Source organism: Homo sapiens, chromosome 11 (assembly GCF_000001405.40).
Source record: "Homo sapiens chromosome 11, GRCh38.p14 Primary Assembly".
Lineage (NCBI taxonomy): Eukaryota > Metazoa > Chordata > Mammalia > Primates > Hominidae > Homo > Homo sapiens.
In genome coordinates this window covers 98,261,561-98,289,264 of record NC_000011.10, presented here as the reverse complement: position 1 = coordinate 98,289,264, position 27,704 = coordinate 98,261,561, and positions in this window count along the sequence as shown.

Here is a 27,704-nt window from a genome sequence, read left to right as displayed (position 1 = left end):
GTATTTGATTCCATCAGTTATGAGTTCACTCTATGCTATCAAGAGAAGAAATAATTATTTCTTAATTTAATGTTCAGCCATGTATAGGTGGCATTATATGCAAAACTAAATCAACTTTAAAGACTGGCATAGGGCAACTTCTTTAATTAGCTAAGGCTAGGATCTCTGCAGAAGCTCTGTAAGAAGAGTGTGTCAATTGTAGTATGAACTTGGCACCTGTAGCCAATGATAAGGTTATGGTGTAGCTGTATTCTAATTTGACAGAATAAACACCTGCCATTAACAGGGCTATGACCCTAAAAGCCTGTGCACATGTGTTGTGGCCTTTTAATGAATCTAGAAAAGTCAGTGTCAGAAACCGTTGATTTCTAACTCTGACCCTGTGAAGAAAAGCATGCTATAACTCAAATTCCTACTCTGAAAAACATAGTCAATTAACTGCCAAGAAAAATGAAGGAGGTTTTTGACCTCAATTCCACAAACATTTTTACTTTATTTCTGAAAGCATACCACAATCACCAGGCTGGCCACAGAATTCCCTAGCAGGTGCTTTATGGTGAGCTAAAGCCTGGCTGGTAAGACAGAGAAGCCATTAAAGGGCACTAAAGCAAAAATTAAAGTGGCACAGTATAGTGGCTTGTCTGCTGGGAGATCACAGAGTAGCAGATGGAACAGTCTAGAAAGTAGCAATCAAAGCTGTGTACCATCAGAAACATGGGGAAGATATTGTTACAAAGCAAGGGAGAAAAGCAAATTCTGCCAGGCATGGCAAAATGTGACTAGCATTGATGGACAATTCTCATGGGTTATTGTGTTACTTTTCACTATTGATTATGCTAGCATAGCATTGCACAGATAGATGAGGAAAAGGTTGTTTGAAATCCTATTTAGTATTATAAATGCAGAAGGCACTGTACTAGATCTTGGGAGGAATCAAAATAAGAAGCAGTCTTTATTCTTAAGTATAATCCAAAGGGAAATGTATAGCTTCCACATGAGTATATTCAATATAAACATGGGTTATTTCTTCAGCCATGCATGTAGACAAGTACTGACACGAAGAACAAACATGAAAACGCATCTCAGAAATTATAATACATCATAGCCAGTCACAGGGACCATTATTTATAAAACATACCTGGCTTTCTAATAATAATTATGAAGACAACTACGGCTACATAGCTGGATTTCTGGAATAAACCATTTCATACAAAACAGAAGCTCTTAAATACTATGTGCAGAAGCATTTTGTTGGGAATGGAGGAGAAAATAAAAGTATATATGTCTGGGTTCTAGATTTAAATGAATACAACATTCAGTGATAAGTATAAATATGGAAAATATAATTACAAGAGAGCTATAGGTGAAGTTTGCTCAAAATATAAAGTATAAAGGAAGCAATATTTGGAAAGCACAGAGAGATAACATTTGAGGTAGGTCTTGAATAATGAGCAGCAATTTAAGAAACAGAAAAGGGAGATGGCATTCCAGGTATGTTTAACAGTAAGCAGAAAGACACAAAACATTAAGTATCCTGCCATTCAATTGCTCAGTATGATTCTAAAACAGTGCCCTTTCCTATTAGTCTATATTATGTTGGATTTGTTTTTTTTTTTTGGCTTCTAAACTGTCTAAACTTTCTCTAAGCTTTCTAAACTATCTACAGAAATCATTGTTGTATTCCCCATATCTAATAAAATGTTTCTAATTTAATAAATATATAATAAATATTTTAAATGATGACTAAAATAGTGAAATTTTTATTTTGGTCCCTAATGTTTCCTGTGTTATGATCCACATAACAAAACTGGCTTACAAGATAAAATAAATTCTAGATGTTTTAATGGATAAATCCCAAACTATCTGTGGCTTCACAGAATTAAAGTTCATTTCTACTCACAAAACACATTTCAATGTAAGTGTACCTGATCTCATAGTTCACCTCTAAAAAATGACGTAGGGCTTCGGCGCTTTTTTTATGGATGTTTGGACATCCTCTCCTCATGGCTCTTCTAGATGGCAGACATGTAACTACATCCATTTTCTTTGCTTCTTATAGATGGCAGACATGTAACTAAATCCTACTATTTATAAGAAGCACAGAAAATGGAGGATTGTGTGAGATCTTTTTTTTTTTTTTTTAAAGTAAGAGGACTAAAAATGACGGTTGACCGGAAGTGGTGGCTCAGGCCTGTAATCCCAGCACTTTGGGAGGCTGAAGCTGGTGGATCACCTGAGGTGAGGAGTTCAAGACCAGCCTGGCCAAAATGGTGAAACCCCATCTCTACTAAAAAATACAAAAATTAGTTGGGCGTGGTGGTGTGCCCCCCAGCTACTCAGGAGGCTGAGGCAGGAAAATCGCTTGAACCCAGGATGTAGAGGTTACAATGAGCCAAGACTGTGCCATTGCACACCATCCTGGGAGAGAGAGCAAGACTCCGTCTAAAAAAAAAAAAAAAAAAAAAAAAAAAAGATGTATAGTCACTGTTGTGCTAAAGTTAGTTTACAATGGTTTACTGTGCTTGTCTTTTTCTACCTGTATATTCAGTTTATGTTGGTAGTTTGAAACTGGCCATGGGAGACTATTTAAGCAACAGAGATTGGCAAACTCTACAAATCCAGGTTGCTGTTATCATCATTATTATTACTGTTATTAATTTAATTATTTTATAATGAACCAACCTACCAGCAAACCAGTCTAATATTTCCATTCATTTCACTGATTTGGCATTGTTAGATAAAAAAGGACATCCAAATATATTTGAATTTCAGATAAACAATGATTGTAATTTTTATATGATTATATAGCAAATATTTGAGGAAGTATACTTTTACTAAAAGAAGTGTTGTTTATTTCAAATTTAAATTTAATTTACTCTCCTCCATTTTTATCTTTTCAATCTGTCAATATATGATGATTCAGACTACTGTAATAAGCCTGAAACATGGCGTTTACCTGTATTTTTAAGAAAAACAAACTAGATTTTAGTTAGTTGGTTTAGTGTATTTTTTTATAGCTATAACAGAATATCTGACAGTTGGTAATATATGATGAACAGAAATTTAGTAACTCACTGTTTTGGAAGTTGGGGAGTTTAATATTAAGATGTTGACATCTTGCTGTGACATCACATGGCAGAAGGCAAGTAGACTAGAGAGAGTAAGGAGGCTGATCTCACCCTTTTATAATGCATCAGTTGCACCCATGAGAGTGGGGCTCTCACGGTCTTATCACCTCTTAAAAGTCTTACTACCTAATACTTTTACAAAGGCACTTAAATGTCAACAGAAGTTTTAGAGCAATATTTAGACTATAGCATTAACACATAGAAATATGTGTCACAGTAACTTAAGTTTCCATGTAGCTATGCAGGTTTAATATCTTTCTTTTGCCTCCCCAGATACAATCTCCTTCTTTCTTCACCTTGCCCTGTTCCTGAATTAGCTATCCTGTAATAACTGCATCAAAATGCTTCTTTACTCTCGGTCATTTGGCAGCATAGATAAGAAACTGTAAAATCAGAGTAACTTGGGGTCCAGAATATGTATTCCCTGCCATGTCATCATACCTTGGTCATACCCCCAACCCCATACTAAAGACCACCATCCTTTCAGGATTACTTTTTAATAACTATCATGAGATATTTATTTCTCTATATGTGTAGATAAAACTTTGTAGGTCTTCTCCTCGTTATGGCTGTTTTTTTTTTTTTTCTGCTCCCCTTGTTGATATGTTACTTTCTGAAAAGGTTTGCTGAGATTTAGAATTAGGTTTCCAATCATTATTGTCCCAGGAACATAGATCATGTGGCTGACAACACTTAACCCTTCAAGTACCTCTGAAATTTTTTTTCCGGAGAAGAAAATGGCTCCACTGCTCTGAAAGTAAACTAGTATTGCCTTGAAAAATATATCAATGACTAAATCTGAAAGAGTTGTCCAACTTTCCGAAGTTTCAGAAATTCTTTCTGTTATGGCTTTTTACTTTTATACCATTATGGTCAGAAAATATTCTGTATAGGATTTCAATTATCTTAAAAATGTTAAGACTTGTTTTGTATCCCAACATATGATCCATCCTGGAAAAAATTCCATGTGCAGTTAATAAAAATGTATATTTTACTACTGTGGGATGAAATATTCCGTTATTTTATGTTAGGACCATTTGCTCTAGAGTGCAATTTAAATCCAATGCTTCTTTTTAAATTTTCTGTATGGATGATTTGTCCACAGCTGAAAATGAAGCGTTAAAATCCTTTACTGTTATTGTACTATCATTATCTCTCCCTTTAGATCTATTAATATTTTCTTTATAGATTTAGGTGCTCCAATGTTGAGTGTATATATATTTGCAATTCTTATGTCCTCTTGCTGAATTGACCGTTTTATCATTATATTATGATGTTCTTTGTCTCTTTTTACAGTTTTTGATTTACAGTCTATTTTATGTTAAAACTATAGCTACTCTTACTCTCTTTTGGCTTCTACTGCATGAAATATCTTTTTTCACCCCATACTTTCAGTTCTATGTGTGTGCTTACAGATTAAGTGAGTCTCTTGTAAGCATAACTTAGTTGATTCTTACCTTTTTATCCATTCAACTATTCTATGTTTTTAAATTTTATAATTCAATCCATTTAGGCTCAAGGTAATTATTGATAGGTAAGGACCTACTACCGCCATTTTTTTAAATTGGTTTCCATGTTGTATTGTAGGTAATTTCTTCCTTTCTTTCTCTCTTCCTGTCTTCATTTTAGCCAAGTAATTTTCTGTAGTAGTATATTTTAATTCCTTGCTTTTAATTTGTAGTGTATATTTTTTAAGTTTTCGCTTTGTTGTTTGCATGAAGCTTACAAAATACATCTTATAACGGGTTATTTAAAGCTAATAACAACTTCGATTGCAAATTAAAAAACAAAAACAAAACAGGCAAAAAATCTACACTTTATCTCCACTCCCCACCCACATTTTGAATTTCCAATGTCACAATTTACATCTGTTGACATTTGATGTTACATAACATTTAACAGATTATGAAATTATTATATAAATAAAATATTATTTTAATAGTTCTTTTTTGTTGTTGTTGTTGAGACAGAGTCTCGCTCTGTTGCCAGCCTGGAGTGCAGTGGCGTGATCTCGGCTCACTGCAACCTCCGCCTCCCGGGTTCAAGCGATTCTCCTGCCTCAGCCTCCCAAGTAGCTGGGAATACAGGCATGCGCCACCATGCCCAGCTGATTTTTGTATTTTTAGTAGAGACGGAGTCTCACTGTGTTGGCCAGGATGGTCTCGATCTCCTGACCTCCTGATTTGCCCGCCTTGGCCTCCCAAAGTGCTGGGATTACAGGCTTGAGCCATGGTGTCTGGCCAGTTCTGTCTTTTAAGCTTCATACTAAAGATATAAATGACTTCTGTGCCACTGTTATCTGTATTATTCTGAATTTGACTATGTACTTACTTTTACCAGTGAATTTGATACTTTCAGCTGTTTCCATGGTACTCATTGGCATCCTTTTTATCAACTTGAACAACTTCAGATAAACTCGCTAAGTATTTGCTTGGAAAAATTAATATCTGTTTATTTCTGAAGGAGAGATTTCCTGGGTACAGTACTGTTCATTGGGATGTGACAGGAGTGAGCTTCCTTCAAGGTGTCCCAGAATGGTGAGGAAGCTGAGTGTCCACCTCTAATTCACATTTTCCTTTGTACAAATTGTGGGTCTAGGATATTTTTGTGCGCACGTCACTGCGCTGGCTTGGAGTATGGCCAGCAAGGTAACAGACAACCATTCTCTTACTATTTGATCACATTTATCTTGTTTTTGTGGTCCAAGTAGGCATCTTAGGCTCACTCCCTAGTACTGGGATATTAAGGGTGATATTCTTGCATGTGGATAATTGCAAGTTTAATTTCTGTGTGGGAAAGTGAAGCTGGGAAATTTTTATTTTGCTATCTTGCTTATGTCACTTTTTAGATGATAATTTAACGTCTGTAAATAAAGAATGGAGGCAAGTATGGGGCCAAAGGATGTTACTCCATGTTATTAGTGATATTTTCTCTGTTAGTAATTGAGTTAAATAATTTTTTTATCATTAACTGTGCAACAATCATGCTTAAAAGTTTTAATATGGTCATACAAAAACAATCTTATTTTCTAATATTTTATAACTATATTTTAAGCAAGATGCACCATAGGTTTATAATAAGATATAAAACTATGACATAAAATAGCTCTCAGCTTCATGTAAAACATAATACCATGAAGTTTCTAATATTTTGGCAAGAAAAAAATCAGAAAATGAACACTTAATTACTTGAGAGAACTACATTGAAAGAAATGATCTGACATAGTATATTAGTAGTTTATCTGAAATGCAATTATAATGACCACACATCAGAATTGTATAATTTAGAAAAATCTATTCCTTATTTCTTATGATTATGGTTGGCTCTATTTGCAGACTCTACACGTTTTCTGAAATATCAATCTTAAAAGAAAATGGATTGGGCAACCTTGAAAGAAAATAAGATCTCAGTATCTAGAGGTATTTAACTGTAGACTTGTGACCATTGCAGGGAAAATGCTTCATCTACAGTCCAAATATTGATTGTTTTATTGATCTTAGCTGTTTTTAAGATCAGTCTCCTGAAACCCTGAGGTTTTTAAATTCCTCCTTCCATCGTCCCTAAATAAAATTTAACGAGTATTTGAATAGGCATTACTGATCTTACAAATATTTATTCATAATCATTCAAATATGATTTAGAAAAAACTGTAAGGACATATGAAATTATTAAGTTGCATGCACTGATAATGAAATAATTGTAAGGCAGTAAAATTTATCAAAAATCATATGTAAAAACGAGCTTTTATTCAGTTAAATTAAAAAAATCACACACACAACTATTTTCTATTTGGATGTTTTGTTACTTATGCTTACATATTCAATTAATCATCCAAAGTGTATGTATTGAACCTACTATGTACAGTGAAGTTTGTATATATTATGAAAATAAATAAGTTATAATCTTTCTTCGGAGCAGTTTTTGTATATATAAAAGAATTCTTAATAAGTATAGCTCAGGAGCTTATTCACTAGGAAGACCTCTTAATTTTTTTTTTTTTGAGGTGGAGTCTTATTCTATTGCCCAGGCTGGAGTGCAGTGGTGCGATCTCGGCTCACTGCAACCTCCACCTCCCGGGTTCAAGCGATTCTCCTGCCTCAGCCTCCTGAGTCGCTGGGATTACAGGTGCGCACCACCAAGCCCTGTTAATTTTTGTATTTTTAGTAGAGATGGGGTTTCATCATGTTGGCCAGGCTGGTCTTGAACTCCTGACCTCAAGTGATCCACCTACCTTGTCCTCCCAAAGTGCTGGGACTATAGGCGTGAGCCATCACGCCCAGCCTGACCTCTTAACTTATGATGGATTATGCAGTTTTATTTTGTGCTCTCAAAGCAGATCTTCCATAGTTCTATAATAGACTTGTTATTTTACATAGAATTATGTATTTATTTGTCAGTTTCATCAACTTGTTTATATCTTGAGAACAGGGGCCATTTTTTATGTCTGTAAAATTTTAATAACCTAGAACAAATGACAGAATTCAGTAAAATCTAAATAAATATTCATTGATTTCAATTTTTAGGCTGCTCTGTTGTATCAATGATAGTTTCAGCAGAAAGTAGATGTCACACATAAGCTAAGGGATTTCAGAAGTTTTTAAACACAGGGCAATTTAAAAACCTGTGGGTAGGCTGAGGTCACTCCACAAAGATTACTGCAGTACCTGGGATTAACAGCAAAACTCCTTTACTCCAATACCTGAAAGGCAGAATCAGGACACAGTTGCTGACAACCCAAGAAAATATCTTGATGATAAAGTTTGCCTCATATGAGTTAGGAACAAAGAACCAAAGGAATAATATTTCTATTACATAATCCCTCAATTCACCAGGCTCTTTCCAGTTGCTACCATTTGCTAAACCCAAATAAAAGCAATAGAGCAAGCTCTTTGGGTTTGCCTCCTAAAGAAAAGAGCAGAATGGAAAACGGTGAAATGTGAATAAGGAGAGACAACAGAGGATGATACCCATCAAATATATGGAAAATATGGCATGTGAATGTCAACACAACCCAAATTATCAGTAAAAAAGAAAATACAAATAAAAGGTAAAAAATGTTAAGCAACTACAACAAAATAAATCCCACACCTGTAATCTTTTGTTTGAGAAACTATTAATATGAACTCATTTATTTTTCATAGTAAAATAATGCATGTTGGGAGGCTCTGAACACAAAAATGGATGAGAAACGATGACAACCTCGTATCAGTGGAGACCCTAGTGTTTAGATTATGGTCATTAATACCATTTTTCCACTGACAAGAATTTGAACTCTTTAGCAATGTAACTAATTTCAGGATGATGCACAGAGAGTACCAAACCATCCCTGATTATATTGTTGGGCCAAAAGGCAAAGGAAGCAAAGATTGCTGGAGTTTTGTGAAAAGGACACACAAAAAAAGGTAAATGAATTACATCAATGTCAATTTTTATTGTGATATAGAATTATATAGGTATGTCATATGTTACCATTGGGGGAAACAGGCTAAAAAGTATATAGGATCTCTTTATGTTTTAAATTTCTTTCAACTGCATGTAAATCTCTAGTGACGTCAAAATTCAAAAAATTAAGAAAACCATAAGGCCAGTAGATATCTAGATATCTATTGCAAATAAAAAGACAATAAAGAAAATAATCAGAAACAAATGCTCATATGGAATTTAATGGCTTTTGAATTAATGAGCAGAATAGCTTGACCATCAAAAAACAGTAACATACACAGTATATTAAAAGACATGAAATATCTAGAGATCCATAAGTTCACAATGATATTTAAAGAAAACCTATAATATGCCATGCACTTTGTTAGGACACCAATTATCTTGAAAATTGGTAAATACAAGAAAAGATTTAAACATTTATACTACTTTCCCTGGTAACCTGTATTTCAGGTTAACCAAATAATTCACCCAGAAAACTTGTTTTATATAGAGATGAACTGAATCTAAAATTTTTTGATATTATTATTATTTAAGCTCTCATGAAATAATAGACTGATGCAATAGTTATAAATGCAAGCTAAAACTGTCAGGTAAATGATTAATGGGGACTTTTAATATGAATATATCAGGCTGATAAGACCTGATCCAATGGATGGAATTACTTTAGGAAACGAAAAGTGCGGGGGATGAAAAAAAAAGGAGAAGGAAGAAGAGAAGAACAAAGATAAAAAGAATAAGAAGGAGAAAGAGGAATAGCAGAAGGAAAATGAAGATGAAGAATGGGAGCAGGAGGAGTTGTGGGGAGGAAAGCACGAGGGGCAGTGCTAGCAGAAAAATATCAAAACATGTATAACCCAAATTTACCATTCAGATATATACACTGCAACCACTCCAGCAAGGCAAATGTCCCCCAACTCATTCAAGGAAGAGGGATGTTTAAAGGTGAAAAAACTTTCAGTTTTTTTTTTTTTTTTTTTTTTTTTTTTTGAGACTGAGTCTTGCTCTGTCGCCAGGCTGGAGTGCAGTGGCGCGATCTCGGCTCACTGCAACCTCCGCCTCCTGGGTTCAAGTTGATTCCCCTGCCTCAGCCTCGCGAGTATCTGAGACTACAGGCACACGCCACCACGCCAGCTAATTTTTTGTATTTTTAGTAGAGACGGGGTTTCACCATGTTGGCCAGGATGGTCTCAATCTCCTGACCTCCTGATGCACCGCCTTAGCCTCCCAAAGTGCTGGGATTACAGGCATGAACCACCGCGCCTAGCCTCAGTTACTTTTTGAGAAAAAAAGTTTGCTCTTTACTCTGACTTTCGTTGCTTTTAGATTTTAGGGTAGATAAAGAAAAATACTTTAATCCTTTTGTGAAAATGACCTTTGATATGCTTGGAGTCATTTCACATATTCCTCTTCAGATATTTGGGCTAAACCATAACTTCCAAATATCTGAGGTCAAAGTAAAGATTGTTACTTTTAGCTAAATTAAAGTTTTCTCACAATGTTTAAAAGATCATGAAATATTTTATTATACCCCTTAAAAAAGCAGTTTGAACATTTTTGTATTAAGAAAGTGATAATCATCAGTCAATTCGCAGTAGCTTTTCTATTCCTACTCAATTTTGAAAATGTTTTTATGCCTCCTTTAACTGAGGATCATTACTCTTCTCAAGGGATTATTTCAATTCTGTTTGGTTTGTTCTACCAACATATAAAATAAATGCTATAGTGGCAGTATTCGTGGCTTGTTATTTTTCATAGGGAAATTATGAGCACCTCACATAGAAACTATCTATTTTACTGCCAATTTTTTTCACATTTAGTTCTCTCAACAATATAAACTCTCTATTTTGCCATGTATTTCTCTTTTCTGAACAGTCTCAAAGTTAAAACTACCACTGCCTCCAAGGATGTCTTGATTATATGTGTGGATTTGAACATTTTGCTCTCTAAGGACAACACCTCATTTTGTCCATACAAATGCAGCTTAAGACAGTAGATGCAGGATATTTCTTTATGTATATATCCAACGATCTTATGCCATTTTATCTCAATTGTTTTCCTGTTAATATTTATAATTTTGTACCATAGTTTATTATCCACCTCCCTTGAAAATTAGTTTTATATATTTACCAGGAAACTTTTTTTTTAGTTATAACTTTGAGTAATACATCTCATCCATCTATGGAATAGAAGATGAAGAGGCAAGTAGAACTTTTTTGTTTCATAAAGCCAGTATTTTCTGTCTCTGTCTCTGTTTCTTTCTTTTCTAATTACTGCATAATTACTTCTCAATAATGAGACTTGAGAAAACTAGAAGTTACATTTGCTGTTCTTCCCCTTTATCTTATAAGTTATATCTGCAGAAGACAATATATTGCTCCAAAATATCTAATTTGAGTGGATTTAGTTACAACAGTACCTGGCTTGTCAGAAACTATCTATTCTGTTATGATTTGGGCCTAATCTCTTTCTTTGAATTTTAGAATAAAATAATTTCCTTTCTTCTATGTTTACTATTTCAGACATGCCCTCTTTTCCAGAAGTCAGTCCTAGGTGATCTTTCCTTATAGATGTTTAACCCACCTGTTTATTTTCTTTACTATAAGCTCTTTATTCTGTATTACTGACTTACTATCTAAAACTTTATCCTAATTATTTCCTCACCACATCAGCTAACAGTATAATTGTCTGTCCAAAATTATAATTCCTGACACATGTCTAATTTGTGCTGGGCATGTTCTAAGCACTTTACACATAAAATACATTAAAACCTTAAAAAACTGTGACAGAGACATTTTTGATAGGCTGTTCATGTATTCATCAATATTTAGTTTCATAGTTCTGGGAACACAGAAAGATTACACTTCCCCACTATGTGATCTGCTTTGGCCAATTAAATGTGAGCAGGGATTCTTTCACTTGAGGATAGGAGTGTTTAACTGGCTTGGTTCAATTCCCCAGGGCCCTCATGAGAATTATGGGATCATGGATATTGTGTAGATCACTTGATAATGAAACCATCTGAGGTTGTAAACCTATTCATGGATGAAAGCTGACCTCATCAATCACTCAGACTGGCAGCAGACTTGGCACGAGTAAATAATAAACTTTGGTTGTATTAATTCACCGAGAGTTTGATACAAGATTCTAAATTCCCTAGTTATTATCAAAGAGTTCTCTGAAAATATATATATACACACACATACATACACAGAGTGATTAATGTATAGAGGATATGTGAAGTAATAACACTAAAGGAGATACTCAAGAGGAAAAGGAAAAGACTGAGTCATACAAGCACTCCCAAATTAAAAAAAGAAAAAAAAAGAAAAGAGCAGAGAGCAGCAAAGGAACAAGGGAGAAGGAAAACAAAAAGAGCATAGTTAACCATTGAAAGCTCTGATAAATAAATTTATAATTGAGATTTGACAATTGCATTTAGCAACATGTGGAATACTGGTGACACTGATAATTTTAGAAGAGTGATGTGAGAAAATTATTTATTTTAAAATAAGTGCACAGCAACACACTATATCACATAGAATATTAAAGGACTCATTTCATTAACAAAAGTGAATTGTCTAAATATAAAATATATTTTGGCAACACCATGTATTAGCCTGTTTTCACACTGCTGATAAAGACACATCTGAAACTAGGAACAAAAAGAGATTTAATTGGATTTACAGTTCCACATGGCTGGGGAGGCCTCAGAATCATGGTGGGCACAGTGGGGAAAGGCACTCCTTACATGGCACGGCAAGAGAAAATGAGGAAGAAGCAAAAGCAGAAACCCCTCATAAACCCATCAGATCTCGTGAGACTTACTATCACAAGAATAGCACAGGAAAGTAGTTTTTTCCAGTTCTGTGAAGAAAGGCATTGGTAGCTTGATGGGGATGGCATTGAATCTGTAAATTACCTTGGGCAGTATGGCCATTTTCATGATATTGATTCTTCCTACCCATGAGCATGGAATGTTCTCCCATTTGTTTGTATCCTCTTTTATTTCATTGAGCAGTGGTTTGTAGTTCTCCTTGAAGAGGTCCTTCACATCCCTTGTAAGTTGGATTCCTAGGTATTTTATTCTCTTTGAAGCAATTGTGAAGGGGAGTTCACTCATGATTTGGCTCTCTGTTTGTCTGTTGTTGGTGTATAAGAATGCTTGTGATTTTGGTACATTGATTTTGTATCCTGAGACTTTGCTGAAGTTGCTTATCAGCTTAAGGAGATTTTGGGCTGAGACAATGGGGTTTTCTAGATATACAATCATGTCGTCTGCAAACAGGGACAATTTGACTTCCTCTTTTCCTAACTGAATACATTTTATTTCCTTCTCCTGCCTAATTGCCCTGGCCAGAACTTCCAACACTATGTTGAATAGGAGTGGTGAGAGAGGGCATCCCTGTCTTGTGCCAGTTTTCAAAGGGAATGCTTCCAGTTTTTGCCCATTCAGTATGATATTGGCTGTGGGTTTGTCATAGATAGATCTTATTATTTTGAAATACGTCCCATCAATACCTAATTTATTGAGAGTTTTTAGCATGAAGGGTTGTTGAATTTTGTCAAAGGCTTTTTCTGCATCTATTGAGATAATCATGTGGTTTTTGTCTTTGGTTCTGTTTATATGCTGGATTACATTTATTGATTTGCGTATATTGAACCAGCCTTGCATCCCAGGGATGAAGCCCACTTGATCATGGTGGATAAGCTTTTTGATATGTTGCTGGATTCGTTCTGCCAGTATTTTATTGAGGATTTTTGCATCAATGTTCAACAAGGATATTGGTCTAAAATTCTCCTTTTTGGTTGTGTCTCTGCCCGGCTTTGGTATCAGGATGATGCTGGCCTCATAAAATGAGTTAGGGAGGATTCCCTCTTTTTCTATTGATTGGAATAGTTTCAGAAGGAATGGTACCAGTTCCTCCTTGTACCTCTGGTAGAATTCGGCTGTGAATCCATCTGGTCCTGGACTCTTTTTGTTTGGTAAGCTATTGATTATTGCCACAATTTCAGATCCTGTTATTGGTCTATTCAGAGATTCAACTTCTTCCTGGTTTAGTCTTGGGAGAGTGTATGTGTCGAGGAATTTATCCATTTCTTCTAGATTTTCCAGTTTATTTGTGTAGAGGTGTTTATAGTATTCTCTGATGGTAGTTTGTATTTCTGTGGGATCGGTGGTGATATCCCCTTTATCATTTTTTATTGCGTCTATTTGATTCTTCTCTCTTCTTTTCTTTATTAGTCTTGCTAGCGGTCTATCTACTTTAAAGTTCATATGGAACCAAAAAAGAGCCCGCATTGCCAAGTCAATCCTAAGCCAAAAGAACAAAGCTGGAGGCATCACACTACCTGACTTCAAACTATACTACAAGGCTACAGTAACCAAAACAGCATGGTACTGGTACCAAAACAGAGATATACATCAATGGAACAGAACAGAGCCCTCAGAAATAACTCCGCATATCTACAACTATCTGATCTTTGACAAACCTGAGAAAAACAAGCAATGGGGAAAGGATTCCCTATTTAATAAATGGTGCTGGGAAAACTGCCTAGCCATATGTAGAAAGCTGAAACTGGATCCCTTCCTTACACCTTATACAAAAATCAATTCAAGATGGATTAAAGACTTAAACGTTAGACCTAAAACCATAAAAACCCTAGAAGAAAACCAGGGATTACCATTCAGGACATAGGCATGGGCAAGGACTTCATGTCTAAAACACCAAAAGCAATGGCAACGAAAGCCAAAATTGACAAATGGGATCTAATTAAACTAAAGAGCTTCTGCACAGCAAAAGAAACTACCATCAGAGTGAACAGGCAACCTACAAAATGGGAGAAAATTTTCACAACCTACTCATCTGACAAAGGGCTAATATTCAGAATCTACAATGAACTCAAATTTACAAGAAAAAAACAAACAACCCCATCAAAAAGTGGGCGAAGGATATGAACAGACACTTCTCAAAAGAAGATATTTATGCAGCCAAAAAACACATGAAAAAATGCTCACCATCACTGGCCATCAGAGAAATGCAAATCAAAACCACAATGAGATACCATCTCACACCAGTTAGAATGGCAATCATTAAAAAGTCAGGAAACAACAGGTGCTGGAGAGGATGTGGAGAAATAGGAACACTTTTACACTGTTGGTGGGACTGTAAACTAGTTCAACCATTGTGCAAGTCAGTGTGGCGATTCCTCGGGGATCTAGACCAAGAAATACCATTTGACCCAGCCATCCCATTACTGGGTATATACCCAAAGGACTATAAATCATGCTGCTATAAAGACACATGCACACGTATGTTTATTGTGGCATTATTCACAATAGCAAAGACTTGGAACCAACCCAAATGTCCAACAATGATAGACTGGATTAAGAAAATGTGGCACATATACACCACGGAATACTATGAAGCCATAAAAAATGATGAGTTCATGTCCTTTGTAGGGACATGGATGAAATTGGAAATCATCATTCTCAGTAAACTATCGCAAGAACAAAAAACCAAACACCGCATATTCTCACTCATAGGTGGGAATTGAACAATGAGATCACATGGACACAGGAAGGGGAATATCACACTCTGGGGACTGTGGTGGGGTGGGGGGGCGAGGAGGGATAGCTTTGGGAGATATACCTAATGCTAGATGACGATTTAGTGGGTGCAGCGCACCAGCATGGCACATGTATACATATGTAACTAACCTGCACAATGTGCACAGGTACCCTAAAACTTAAAGTATAATAATAAAAAAAAAAAAAAGAATAGCACAGGAAAGACACGCCCCCATGGTTCAATTACCTCCCACTGGGTCCCTCCCACAACATGTGGGAATTCTGGGAGATACAATTCAAGTTGAGATTTTGGGTGAGGCCAAGCCAAACCATATCACACCACAGTTTGAAAATGTATAATATTAAATATTGTTTTTAACCACTTGAACTGCTAAAAGGTCTACTGCCTTAAACACATCAATCTGAGAACAGACTCAGACTATAGATAAAATTATTTATACACAACATATTTATGTGATTAATGCAATTTGGAAATAATATTAGCAGTTGCAACAGGTTTCACATCTTACTGTGAGGTATATTTTCTGCATTCCATTGATATTAATGATATCTGTGATATTTAGCATATTAACCTCTTTCACCCTAACAGCAGACTATTTGATAAAAACTAAACAGTACCCTGGATTCTCATAATTTTGTAGATAAAAAAACAGTCTATGATCTAATCTCTTGGCTTAATGACAATATAACGAAACTAAATTATTGAAATGCTGGCTCAAAGCTAGACTAACTGATTCATGCATGGTTCTGATTTGGAAGGCAGTTTGATAAAGAGAAATTATTCTAGGTCATTATTAAAGACAAAAAATTTTAATGCACTAAGTGTGAGATTTACTGCTGCTTACTTAAGTAAAAATCAAAGCACCTTTTACTGACTTGTGATAATGAGATCACCATTTATACTGCCATTGCCTTTATTTTCAAGTTTTCAGACTTTCAACTATTTTTACACTATTGGTGATGTAATAAAATTAAAAATCTAATTTATTTCAGCATGAATTATTGAGATATGCATCATAGTCATAAGAAGAAAATGCACGTTTCTGAGTACACTGTAGCAAGTAATAGATCTTGAATTAGTATTTATTCAAAATGTGCATTAGTATTCATTTATTCAAAATACCTATTATATGCCTACATCATGTTTGCTAGTATTTGCATAAATAAGCATTTCTATTTTAATAATGTTCAACTTTTTGCAAGTAAACAAATGATGAATCTGTGTCACCAAATAGCATATATTTAAAAAATTATAATAAGAATTTAGACATTGAAAATCTCCTATATCTGATCAGCCCATTCACAATGTTGCTTTCTGCCTTTCATCACAAATTAAAAACTAGGAAATTCTTAGAATCCTGATAAAAGGTTTAAATGTTAATATAATAATATTCCTCTGTGCTATTTATACAGAAGTAAGATGTTAAGTAGAATAAAAGATATTTATAAGTATTAATACCAATTTTCACCAAAAATAGTCATATCTATGAACTTCTAATGACAAATTGGAATTTTAACTGACAATGTTTTTGTCCCAGTACAGGTTATCATTCTTAAAAGTATTACCCTATCTAATACATTTTTGGTTATTTTTATTCTATTTACAAAGGATGTAGTATCTCATTTGTCTTGAAAATAGCTCAGTGAGAATTTTTATCACTAGTGACCAGGTATTTTTCATCAGAATTATATATAAATTACAAGGATTTATAATCAGAAAAATTGGTGCCAATAAGATTTTGGAGATAATTGAGTAGGAAGAGTCAAGAATCATTAGACCGATGGTTCTATGTTAGATAATTGTATGAATGTATATATTGAACATTTATTGACAAAAAGAATATGGAATAATGAGACACAGATTGTTATTGGAAATGGGGACACTAATAATGTAAATATTTGGAGTTCATGGCCTTCTAGGCAACAAGTGTCAGGTATTTTGGCAGCTAAAAAGTTAATCAGACTATTTGATTTATAATTCTAGCGATAATATTAAGATTGGTTTCCTAGTATTCACCTGAGTAGAACATTTTATATATATATATATATAAATATAATCACCTTGTGACTAAGACAAAACTAAATGTTAATATTGCTTTCCTCTAGCACCATAATGAATGAAGATAAAAGGGTAATATCCCTAGCTTATTGGGTAGTAAAATTTATAGTGTACTTCCCTGGAATTTAACTTCTGCAACACAGAATTTCTTGGTGGGTGAAAGCAGGAAATGAGACAGGCTAGTGATTATGTTGCAGAAATTAAATCCAAGTAAGTATAGCCAAAACACAGGGACTCACTTCTTCTATCTAACATCCAGGTATGGCAGGTCAAGAATACCAGGAACCTGATTACTGTCACTCCAACTTGCTCATAAGGATAAAGTTCCACATTAAGAGAGACAAGCCAAGAAGAGCAGAAAATATTGCCCACGCAAAGCACTATTCTCATAAAGTAGAGATGCTACTCCAATAGAAATAGGTCATTATTCCTGCACACAGCTCTGGAGCAGTGACTCAGAGGTTTTATCCAGACGTAGAGGCAGACCATCAGAATTGAGAGCTCCAAAGATTTCCCCAAGGTAACTGACATTATTTGAAACAGTGGGAAAAGTTCAAGCCTAAGGGTGCACTCAGTAAAAAAGATTTTGGAAGTAAACAATTAAAAAGAGGCTGGCAGATCCATGAGAGCAATAAGCTAAGCAATATACAAGCAAATTTATTGAGAGAACCAAGGAAAGATGTAGGTAAGAAGAGTCTTCCTAAGGTCAGAGCAAATCAAGAAGACTGGCCTCAAATATTGCCTTAATAAAGGGGACCAAATGTAATTAAATCAGACTTTGGAGAACTTCATGCCCAAGGGAATTCATGAAAATGTCACCCAAAAGACCACCAGTATGGCTATATTGTAGAAAGGAGAGCTTTATTGGCTATACTAGTGTGCAAGCTGAGAAGAGGAAGTCTCCAGCATGCGCCAAAGATGCTCTTTCTTTGAAGAAAGTAAGGACAGATTGGGTTTAATACCTCACAGGGCTAGTATCATATATATTCGGCAGGTTTGGGAAGAAAAGGACACAAAAATGGTGTATGTACAGCTTCTAAAACCTGGCTGAAACTGGTTTAAGGTGTGCAAATAGCTTATCCAAACAAACAAACAAACAAAAAAAACGGCTGTAAAATAGGTCCTCTGTCCAGTCAGATTTGCAGTTGCCTGGGTTGTAAATTAGCCTGATCGCTCCATTTGTTAGGGATTTTAGCCATAGAAATTTAAAAATCTGCCATGCCAGCCAGACTTATCTCTCAACCCATAAGTATCTTGGTTTCCTTAACCTAAGACTCCATCTGAGTTGATAAAGAGATGTCTACTTTAATCCCCCAGATCACAAGGACTATATATCAATCAGCAAACATTTATAGATCCTAACAGCTGGGTGACAGCAATAAAGGGAACCAACTTAATAGAGAAGTCAGAGAAAAAACATTCAAAGGGAGTTCCGCTAAAACTATTGTTATTCAGAATGACTGTCCCCAGAATCAATGGAGAAATCAGTGAAATCATTTAAAAAACCATACTTATTGCAAAGAGCAACTATAAGAAAGCTGGAATGGTTTTATCAACATGCAAAAAAGTCTAAATAAAAAAATTACTAGAGATAAAAAGAAACATTTTATAATACTGATAGGGTAATTCATAAGGAAGATATAACAATTATAAACATATGCAAATAAATAGATAATTCCACAATGATAATCAGAGATGCAAATAACTAATTTTCCATAATGGATACAATTGTGCAGACCATCAACAAGGAAAGGAAAGACTTGAAAATACTATGCACCAAGTAGTTCTAACAGATATCTATAGACAACCCACCCAATAGCAGCTGAATATGAATTATTCTGAAGTACAAATGGAGCATTGAAAGGATAGACAATAAAAAAGCCTCAATAAGTTTAAATCATAAAATCAAAGTATGTACCCTCAAACCACAGTATAATTAAATTGGGAATCCAGAATACAAAGACATTTAGGAATCACAAATGTGTAGAAATAAAACAATAAAATCCTAAATAATCAAGGGATTTGGTATGGTTTGGCTGTGTCCCCAGCCAAATCTCATCCTGAATTGTAGTTCCAGTAATCCCCACAGGTTGTGGGAGTTACCAGGTGGAGATAATTGAATCACAGGGGCCGTTTTCCCCATCCTGTTCTCATGATAGTGGGTTAGTTCTCAGAAGATCTGATGGTTTTTATGAGAGGGTTCCCCTTCACTGGGTATTCATTCGCTCCCCTGCCACCAGGTGAAAAAGGATGTGCTTGCTTCTTCCTCTGCCATGATTGTAAGTTTCCTGAGGCCTCCCTAGCCATGCTAATCTGTGAGTTAATTAAACCTCTCTCCTTTATAAATTACCCAGTCTCGGGTATGTCTTTATTCGCAGTGTGAGAATGGATTAATACAGTAAATTGATACCAGGTAGTGGAGTGCTGCTTCAAAGATAACCAAAAATATGGAAGTGGCTTTGGAACCGGGTAACAGGCAGAGGATGGAGCAGTTTGGAGGGCTCAGAAAAGAGGAAAATGTGGGAAAGGTTGGAATTTCCTAGAGACTTGTTGAATGTATTTGACCAAAATGCTGATAGTAATATGGACAATAAAGTCCAGGCTGAAGTGGTCTCAGATGAAGATGAAGCACTTCTTGGGAACTGGAGCAAATTGTTGTTATGTGTTAGCAAAGAGACTGGCGGCATTTTGCCCTGCCATAGAGATCTGTGGAACTTTAAACTCAAGAGAGATGATTTGGGGTATCTGGAAGAAGACATTTCTAAGCAGCAAAGCATTCAAGAGGTGACAGAGCATAAAAGTTTGGAAAATTTGCAGCCATATGATGCGGTAGAAACAAAAAAAAATTTCTGGGGAGAAATTCAAGCCAGCTGCAGAAATTTGCATAAGTACTAGGAGCCAAATCACCAAGACAATGGGGAAAATGTCTCCAGGGCATGTCAGAGACCTTTGCTCCCATCACGGGTTCAGAGGCCTAGGAGGAAAAAATGATTTTGTGGGCTGGGTCTGGGGTCCCCCTGCTGTGTGCAGCTTACAGATTTGGTACCCTGCATCCCAGCTGCTGTAGCCATGGCTAAAAGGGACCATACAACTTGGGCTGTGGCTTCAGAGGGTGCAAGCCCCAAACCCTGCACCTTCCACATGGTGTTGAGCCTGTGGGTGCACAGGAGACAAGAACTGAGGTTTGTGAACTTCTGCCTAGATTTCAGAGGATGTATGGAAACATGTGGTTGCCCAGGCAGAAGTTTGTTGCAGGGCAGAGCCCTCATGGAGAACCTCTGCTAAGGTAATATGAAAGAGAAATGTAGGGTCAGAGCCCCCACTCAGAGTCCCCACTGGAGTACTGCCTAGTGGAGCTGTGAGAAGAGGGCCACTATACTCCAGACCCCATAATGGTAGATCCACTGACACCTTGCACTATGCACCTGGAAAAGCCACAGGCACTGAATGTCAGCCCATGAAAACAGCTGGGAGCGGGGGCTCTACCCTGCAAAACCACAGGGGCAGAGCTGCCCAAGAATGTGGGAGCCCACCTCTTGCATCAGCATCACTTGGATGTGAGACATGGAGTCAAAGGAGATAATTTTGGACTTTTAATATTTATGACTACCCTATTGGATTTTGGACTTGCATGGGGCCTGTAGCCTCTTGGTTTTGGCCAATTTATCCCATTTGGAATAGGTATATTTACCTAATGCCTGTACCTCCATTGCATCCAGGAAGTAACTAACTTACTTTTGATTTTACAGACTTGTAGGGGGAAGGGACTTGCCTTGTCTCAGATGAGACTTTGGACTTGGATTTTTGAGTTAATGCTGGAATGAGTTAAGAATTTGGGGCACTGTTGGAAGGGCATGATTGTGTTTTGGAAAGTGAGGACATGAGATTTGGGAGGGGCTAGTGGTGGAATAATATAGTTTGGCTGTGTCCTCACCCATATCTCATCTTGAATTGTAGTTTCCATAATCCTCATGTGTCATGGAAAGGACCAGGTAGAGATAATTAAATCATGTAGGCGATTTCACCCTTCCTGTTCCAGTGGTAGTGAGTTAGTTCTCAGTAGATCTGATGGTTTTATAAAGGGCTTTCCCCTTCACTGGGCACTCATTCTCTCTTCTGCCACAATGTGAAGAAGGACATATTTGCTTCCCCTTCTGCCATGATTGCAAGTTTCCTGAGGCCTCCTCAGCCATGCTGAACTGTGTGAGTCAATTAAACCTCTTTCCTTTATAAATTACCCAGTTGCAGTTATGTCTTTATTAGGAGTGTGAGAGTGGACTAATACAGGATTTAAGAGTAAATAACAAGAAAAAATTAAAATCACTTTGAAAATTAAAAAATATGGTTGCACCTAAAGCAGTGCTTAGAGGGCAAGATATATCGTAAAAGACTGCAAAAGAAGAAAGTTTACAAATCAATGACCTAATTGTACAGGTTGTAACAGTGGAAAAGGAAGAATTAATGACATAGAATTCACCGAAATGAAGGAAATTATATTATTAGAGCTTAAATTAAAGGATTGGAGAATAGAATAAATAGAGAAATATACGACAGTAAGTGTTGGTTCATCAAAGCAATAAAAAAATTTGCAAGTATTTACCTACACTAAGTAAAAACAGGGAGATGTAGCAGATTACTAGCAATGGAATTGGGACATAACTGATACCAGTGGGCTGGGAGACATTCCCAAATGTTGGTGGGACATCAACTTAGCCAGTGTCCATGCCCTTGACACCAAGATGAGAAGAAATTCAAGGATGAGTCAGAAAATAGTGAAAGTGCAAAGATTTATTGCAAAGGGAAGAATACACACACAAGAAAGGGGATTGGGGGCCAACTCAAGAAAGACGTGCAATGGGGTTTATGATTTCTACTTGTATAGGTTTCTTTAAGGGGTGGAGTATTCATGAAACTTCCTTGAAAAAGGTGGAGATTTCTCAAAACTGTGGTGCCATCAATTTTACATCAAATATGGGTGTTCTCAGGACTTTCATGGTGCTTGTGGGTCTGTGAGTTAGTATGTTAATGAGTGCATAATAATGTCCTTGGTGAAACCTAGGTCAAATCCAGTGCCTTGTTTGCTCTGGAGCCATGTTTGTTCTTAGCCAGCTTGGTCCACACATTTGTTTTTTAAGGTCTTATCAGCCGCATTGCCTTTAGTCTTGTGAAACTGCTGCTTGAAATTTTTTATTCTTCTGTGATGACCCTGTATTATTCCTATCTCATTAACTACTAACTTAAAATAATTTTTTATTACAATGGACTATAATGGAATCCCATATAAGTGAATACTACGAATGACTGTACAGAAACACATTAAATAGGCTAGATGTAATAAAACACATTCTAGACTGGCACAACTACCAAACCAAACCCAAGAAAAACTAGAAAACCTGAGGTCCATGCCTTAAATAGGTTTTTTTAAAAAAATGAATTGATAATTTAAAAATTTCCCACAAAGAAAAGCTCAGGCCCAAGAAGGATCACTTATGCATTCTTCCAGACATTAAGGAAGAATTAACACCACAAGCCATTCAAAAAACTAAGGGATGTAAATATTTCTGAATGCATTACATGAGGTCAGTGTTACTTCCCAGCTCATTGCATAAGGTCAGAATTAGCCTTCTATCCAAACCTGAGAAAAATATCACAAGAAAACTACCAAGCAATTAGATGGTATATTATACATCTACTAGGATGGCTACAATAAAAATAAAAACCAATAACAAGTGTTAAGGATGTGGAAAAATTGAAATCAATTTCTCATTCATATTTAATTTCTCAATTTTATATTCAACCAATGTGGTTGAAGCCACATTGAAAATCTGTCTGGTAGTTCCTCACAATTTTAAAAATAGGGTTGTCATATGATCTCACAATTCCACTCTTAGGCATATGTTCAAGAGAAATTTTTAAATATTTATATAAAAGCTAGTACATCTATATTCACAGCATGTTATTTATCATTTATTATAGCCAAAAGTGGAGAAAAAAAAAGTAAATGTTCATCACCCGATTAATGAATAAATAACAATATATACTCATAAAATTGAATATTATTTTACTATAAAAAATGAAGTATTGATACTTTTACAGCATGAACCTGGAATATATTTATTAAGTAAAAGAGTCAATCAAACATGATCATATATTATATGACTGTATTTATAAAAAACTGTCCAGGACTGTAACTTTCTTTTCCTGTATTCTCCTTGTCTGGCTTTGATATCAAGGTAATGTTGATTTAATAGAATGAAAGTATTTCCTCTCTTCTAATTTTTTGGAAGATTTTGATAAAAATTCATACTAATTTTTTAAATATTTGTTAGAATTCAGCAATAAAGCCATTAGGTCCTGAATTTTTCCTTGTTCGGAGACCATTTATTACCAATTCAGTCTCTTTAATCATGATTGGTCTGTTAGATTTTCTCATTCTTCATGATTCAATCTTGGTAGGTTGTTTGTGTCTAAAATATTTTCTGTTTTTCTAGGTTATCCAATCTTTTTGGTGTATATAATTGCTAAGAGTATTATCTTATTATCCTTCCCTTGTATTTCTACACTACCAGTTGTAATATCTCCTTTTTCATTTTTAATTTTATTTACTTGAACCTTTCTCTTTTTCCTTAGTCTAAATGTGTGTTAATTTTTCTGTATTAAAAATGACTTTTAACTACATTGTTTTAAAATTGTTTTTGTAGTCTCTATTTAATCTATTTCTTTTCTGGTCTTTATTATTTATTTTCTTCTACTGAATTTGGGTTTAGTTTGTTCTCTTTCTAATTCCTTGAGGTGAACTTAGTTTATTTGAGTTCTTCTTTTTAATGTAGGCATTTATTGCTATAAACTTTCCTCTTAGAACAGCTTTTGTTGTATCCCATATGACATGGTATGTTATATTTCTCTTTTATTGTCTCAGGATATTTTTAAATTTTCCTTTTGCATTATTCTTAAACTCCTTGGTTGTACTGAACAATGTTCTTTAAATTCCATAGACGTCTTTTACAAATTTCCTCTTGTATTGATTTATAATTTCATCCCATTGTGGTGGAATGATTTGACAGATACTTTATGTAATTTCAGATTTCTTAAATTCGTTAAGGCTTCTTATGTTTCCTAATATTTTTTCTATCCTGGAAAATGTTTTGTATGCAGCTGAGAAAAATGTGTACTCTGCAGCTATTGGATGGAATGTTTGTATATATCTGTTGTGTTCATTTTGTCTAAAGTTTAGTTCGAATCTAACATTTTCTAATTGATTTCATGTCTGGATAACCTGTTCAGTTTTGAAAGTGGTGTATTGAAATTACCTACTTTTATTGTGTTGCAGTCCATCTCACTCTTCATATATATTAATATTTGCATTGTATATTCAGGTGCTCCAATTTTTGGTGCATATATATTTAAATGTTACATAACTTGATGAATTGACTCCTTTATCAATATATAATGATTGCTTTTGTCTCTTTTTACAGTTTTTTACTTAAAGCCTATTTTGTCTGATACAAGTATATTCACCTCTTCTCTCTTTAGCTCCATTTGCATAGAATCACTTTTTCTATCATTTTCAGTTTATATGTGTTCTCATGAAGGGTAATGTAAATCTCTTGTTGGCGGCCTATTTTTGAATCTTTTTGTTTTGTTTTGTCTTAATTTATTTAACCTTTGCGTCTTTTGATTGGAAAATTACTTCATTAATATTTAAAGAAATTTTTGACACATCATACCGTACTACTGCCATTTTGTTAATTGTTTACTGACTCCTTGGAATTTTATTTATTCCTTTTTTTTCAATATTGCTGTCTTCCTTTATGATATTTTAAATTTTTGCAGTGGTATGCTTTGATCCTTTTCTCTTTATCTTTTGTATTTGTACTTGGCCTTTTTATTAGTAGTTACTATGGGGCTTACATAAAGCATTTTTATAATATTCTAGATTGCAAAATCTCTACAATTTTACTTCTCTCCTCTTTTTTGTTTTATGCTACTGATGTCGAACTTGACATGTCTTTTTATATTGCACATCATTAACTAATGATTGTAGCTATTTTTTAAAAATACTTTTGACTTTTAGGTCTTATACCAGAGTTAAAAGTAATTTATACACCACAATTACAGCATTAGAGTATTCTGAATTTTGACTCTATTTTACTGTTACCAGTTATTTTATAATGTCATGTTTTTATGTTGGTACTTAGTGACCTTTTGTTTTAACTTGAAGAATTCCCTTAAGCATTTCTTGTAAAGCTGGTCTTTAGTGATGAATTCCATCAGCCTTTGTTTGTATCGGAATGTTTTTATTTTTTCTTCATATCCTAAGGACCACTTTGCCAGTTATGGTATTCTAGCTTGACAATTACTTTTTTCTTAGCAGTCTGAATATATTATCCTGCTCTTTCCTGGCTTGCAAGGTTTCTGTTGAGGAGTGTGCTGATAGCCTTATATGAGACAGTTTATACGTCACAAATCTCTATTATCTTGCTATCGCTATTTGACTTTTGATAATTTCATTATATTGTGTTTCAGACTATTATTCTTTGGAATTATCATGCTTGGACGTTTTTTGAGCTTCATGGTTCTGGATGTCAATATTTTTTCCAAGATTTGGGAAGCTTTCAGACATTATGTCCTCAAATAAGCATTTTTTGTTTGTTTGTTTGTTTGTTTTGTTTTTAGAGTTTCGCTTGGTTGCCCAGGCTGGAGTGCAGTGGTGCAATCTCGGCTCACTGCAAACTCTGCTGCGCTTCCCGTGTTCAAGCAATTCTCTTGCCTCAGCCTCCCAAGTGGCGGGGACTACAGGCATGTGCCATCATACCCGGCTAATTTTTGTATTTTTAGTAGAGACGGGGTTTTAACATGTTGGCCAGGCTGGTCTCAAACTCTTGATCTGCCTGCCTCGGCCTCCCAAAGTGCTGGGATTACAGGTGTGAGCCATTCCGCCTGGCCAATAAGCATTATTCTTTTTTTCTCTCACTCTTATCCTTGGAGAGTGCCATAAATCATGTATTTGTACATTTGATGGTGTCCCAATGGTCCCTCATGTTTTCTTCATTCTTTTTCATTTGTTTTCTTTTTATTCCTCTAACTATTTGATTTCAAATGACCTGTCTTTGAGTTCACTAACTTTTTGTTTTGGATGATCAAATTTGCTGTTGAAGGTCTACAATGAGTTTTTCAGTTCTATCACTGTATTCTTCAGCTCCATAATTTCTGTTTGGTCCTTTTTAATGGTTTCTCTGACCTTATTAAACTTCTCATCTTGTTAATACATTGTTTTTCTTTTTTTATTTAGTCATCTGTGTTTTCTTGAATCTCACTGATTTTCTTTAAGATGTCTGTTTTGAATTTTTTCAGACATTCATAGATCTGCATATTATTGGGAATGATTACTTGAGTTTTATTAGTTTCCTTTGGTGGTATCATGTTTGTCTGATTTTTGCTATCTGTGAACCTTTGTGATAGTGTCTGTGCATTTGAAGGAGCAAATACATCTTAGTCTTTAAAGACTGGGTTTAACACTTTAGGGCCTTCTCCTGTCAGGGCTGAAGGACTGCCTCACAATCCTTGTGGTGACAGGAGTTGGATCCAGATAATGCATCAGCCGTTGGATCTAGAGAAATCTGCAGTGGCTGTGAAGCTGGTGGGCTTGTTACTAGAGGCACTGGTTGGCATGACTTCTCTCTTGTCCCTAGGTGTCCTGGATTGTTTCCTGAACTTTGGCAAGTATGAGTGGCTCTAGTATGAGAGTCTGCATGTTGCAGGCCTATTACCAATTGTATAAAAAGGTGTGGCTCCCTCCAGGTCTCTCAATAGGCTCCCATATTCACAGTTTTATTTCTGGATTCTCTGTTTTATTTGTCTACATGTCTGTATTTATGCCCATATGATAGTGTTTTGATTACTGCAGTTTTGTAATATGTTTTGAAATCAGGAAGTGTGCAGCTTCAATCTTTATTCTTTATCAAGATTGTTTTGTGTATTTGGGGGATCCATTTTTGCTCCATAAAAACTTTAGATTTTTTTTTCTATTTCTGTAATAAATTCCATCAGAGTTTTGTAGGGATTTCATTAAATCTGTATCTTACTTTGGGCAGTATGAACATTTGAACAATATAATGTTTTCCAATCCATGAGCACAAGTTGTCTTTTCATTTATTTGTATCTTTTGCTTCTGAGGGTGCCAAAAATACACAATAGAAAAAGTGTAGTTTCTTCAATGAATAATATTGGGATAATTGGATATTAACATGCAAAAAAGTGAAATTGGATCCTTATCTTTCACAATGCAAGAGAATCAACTGAAAATGAATTAATATTCAAACATAAAATCTGAAAATGTAAAATATGAGAATCAATTATTAATGTTGATCTTTTCAATGATTTAATGGATATGAAACTGAAACACAGACAACAAAAGCAATAATAAAGAAGAATGAATATATCAAGCTAAAAAGCTTTGGTATAGCAAAAGAAACGATCAACAGAG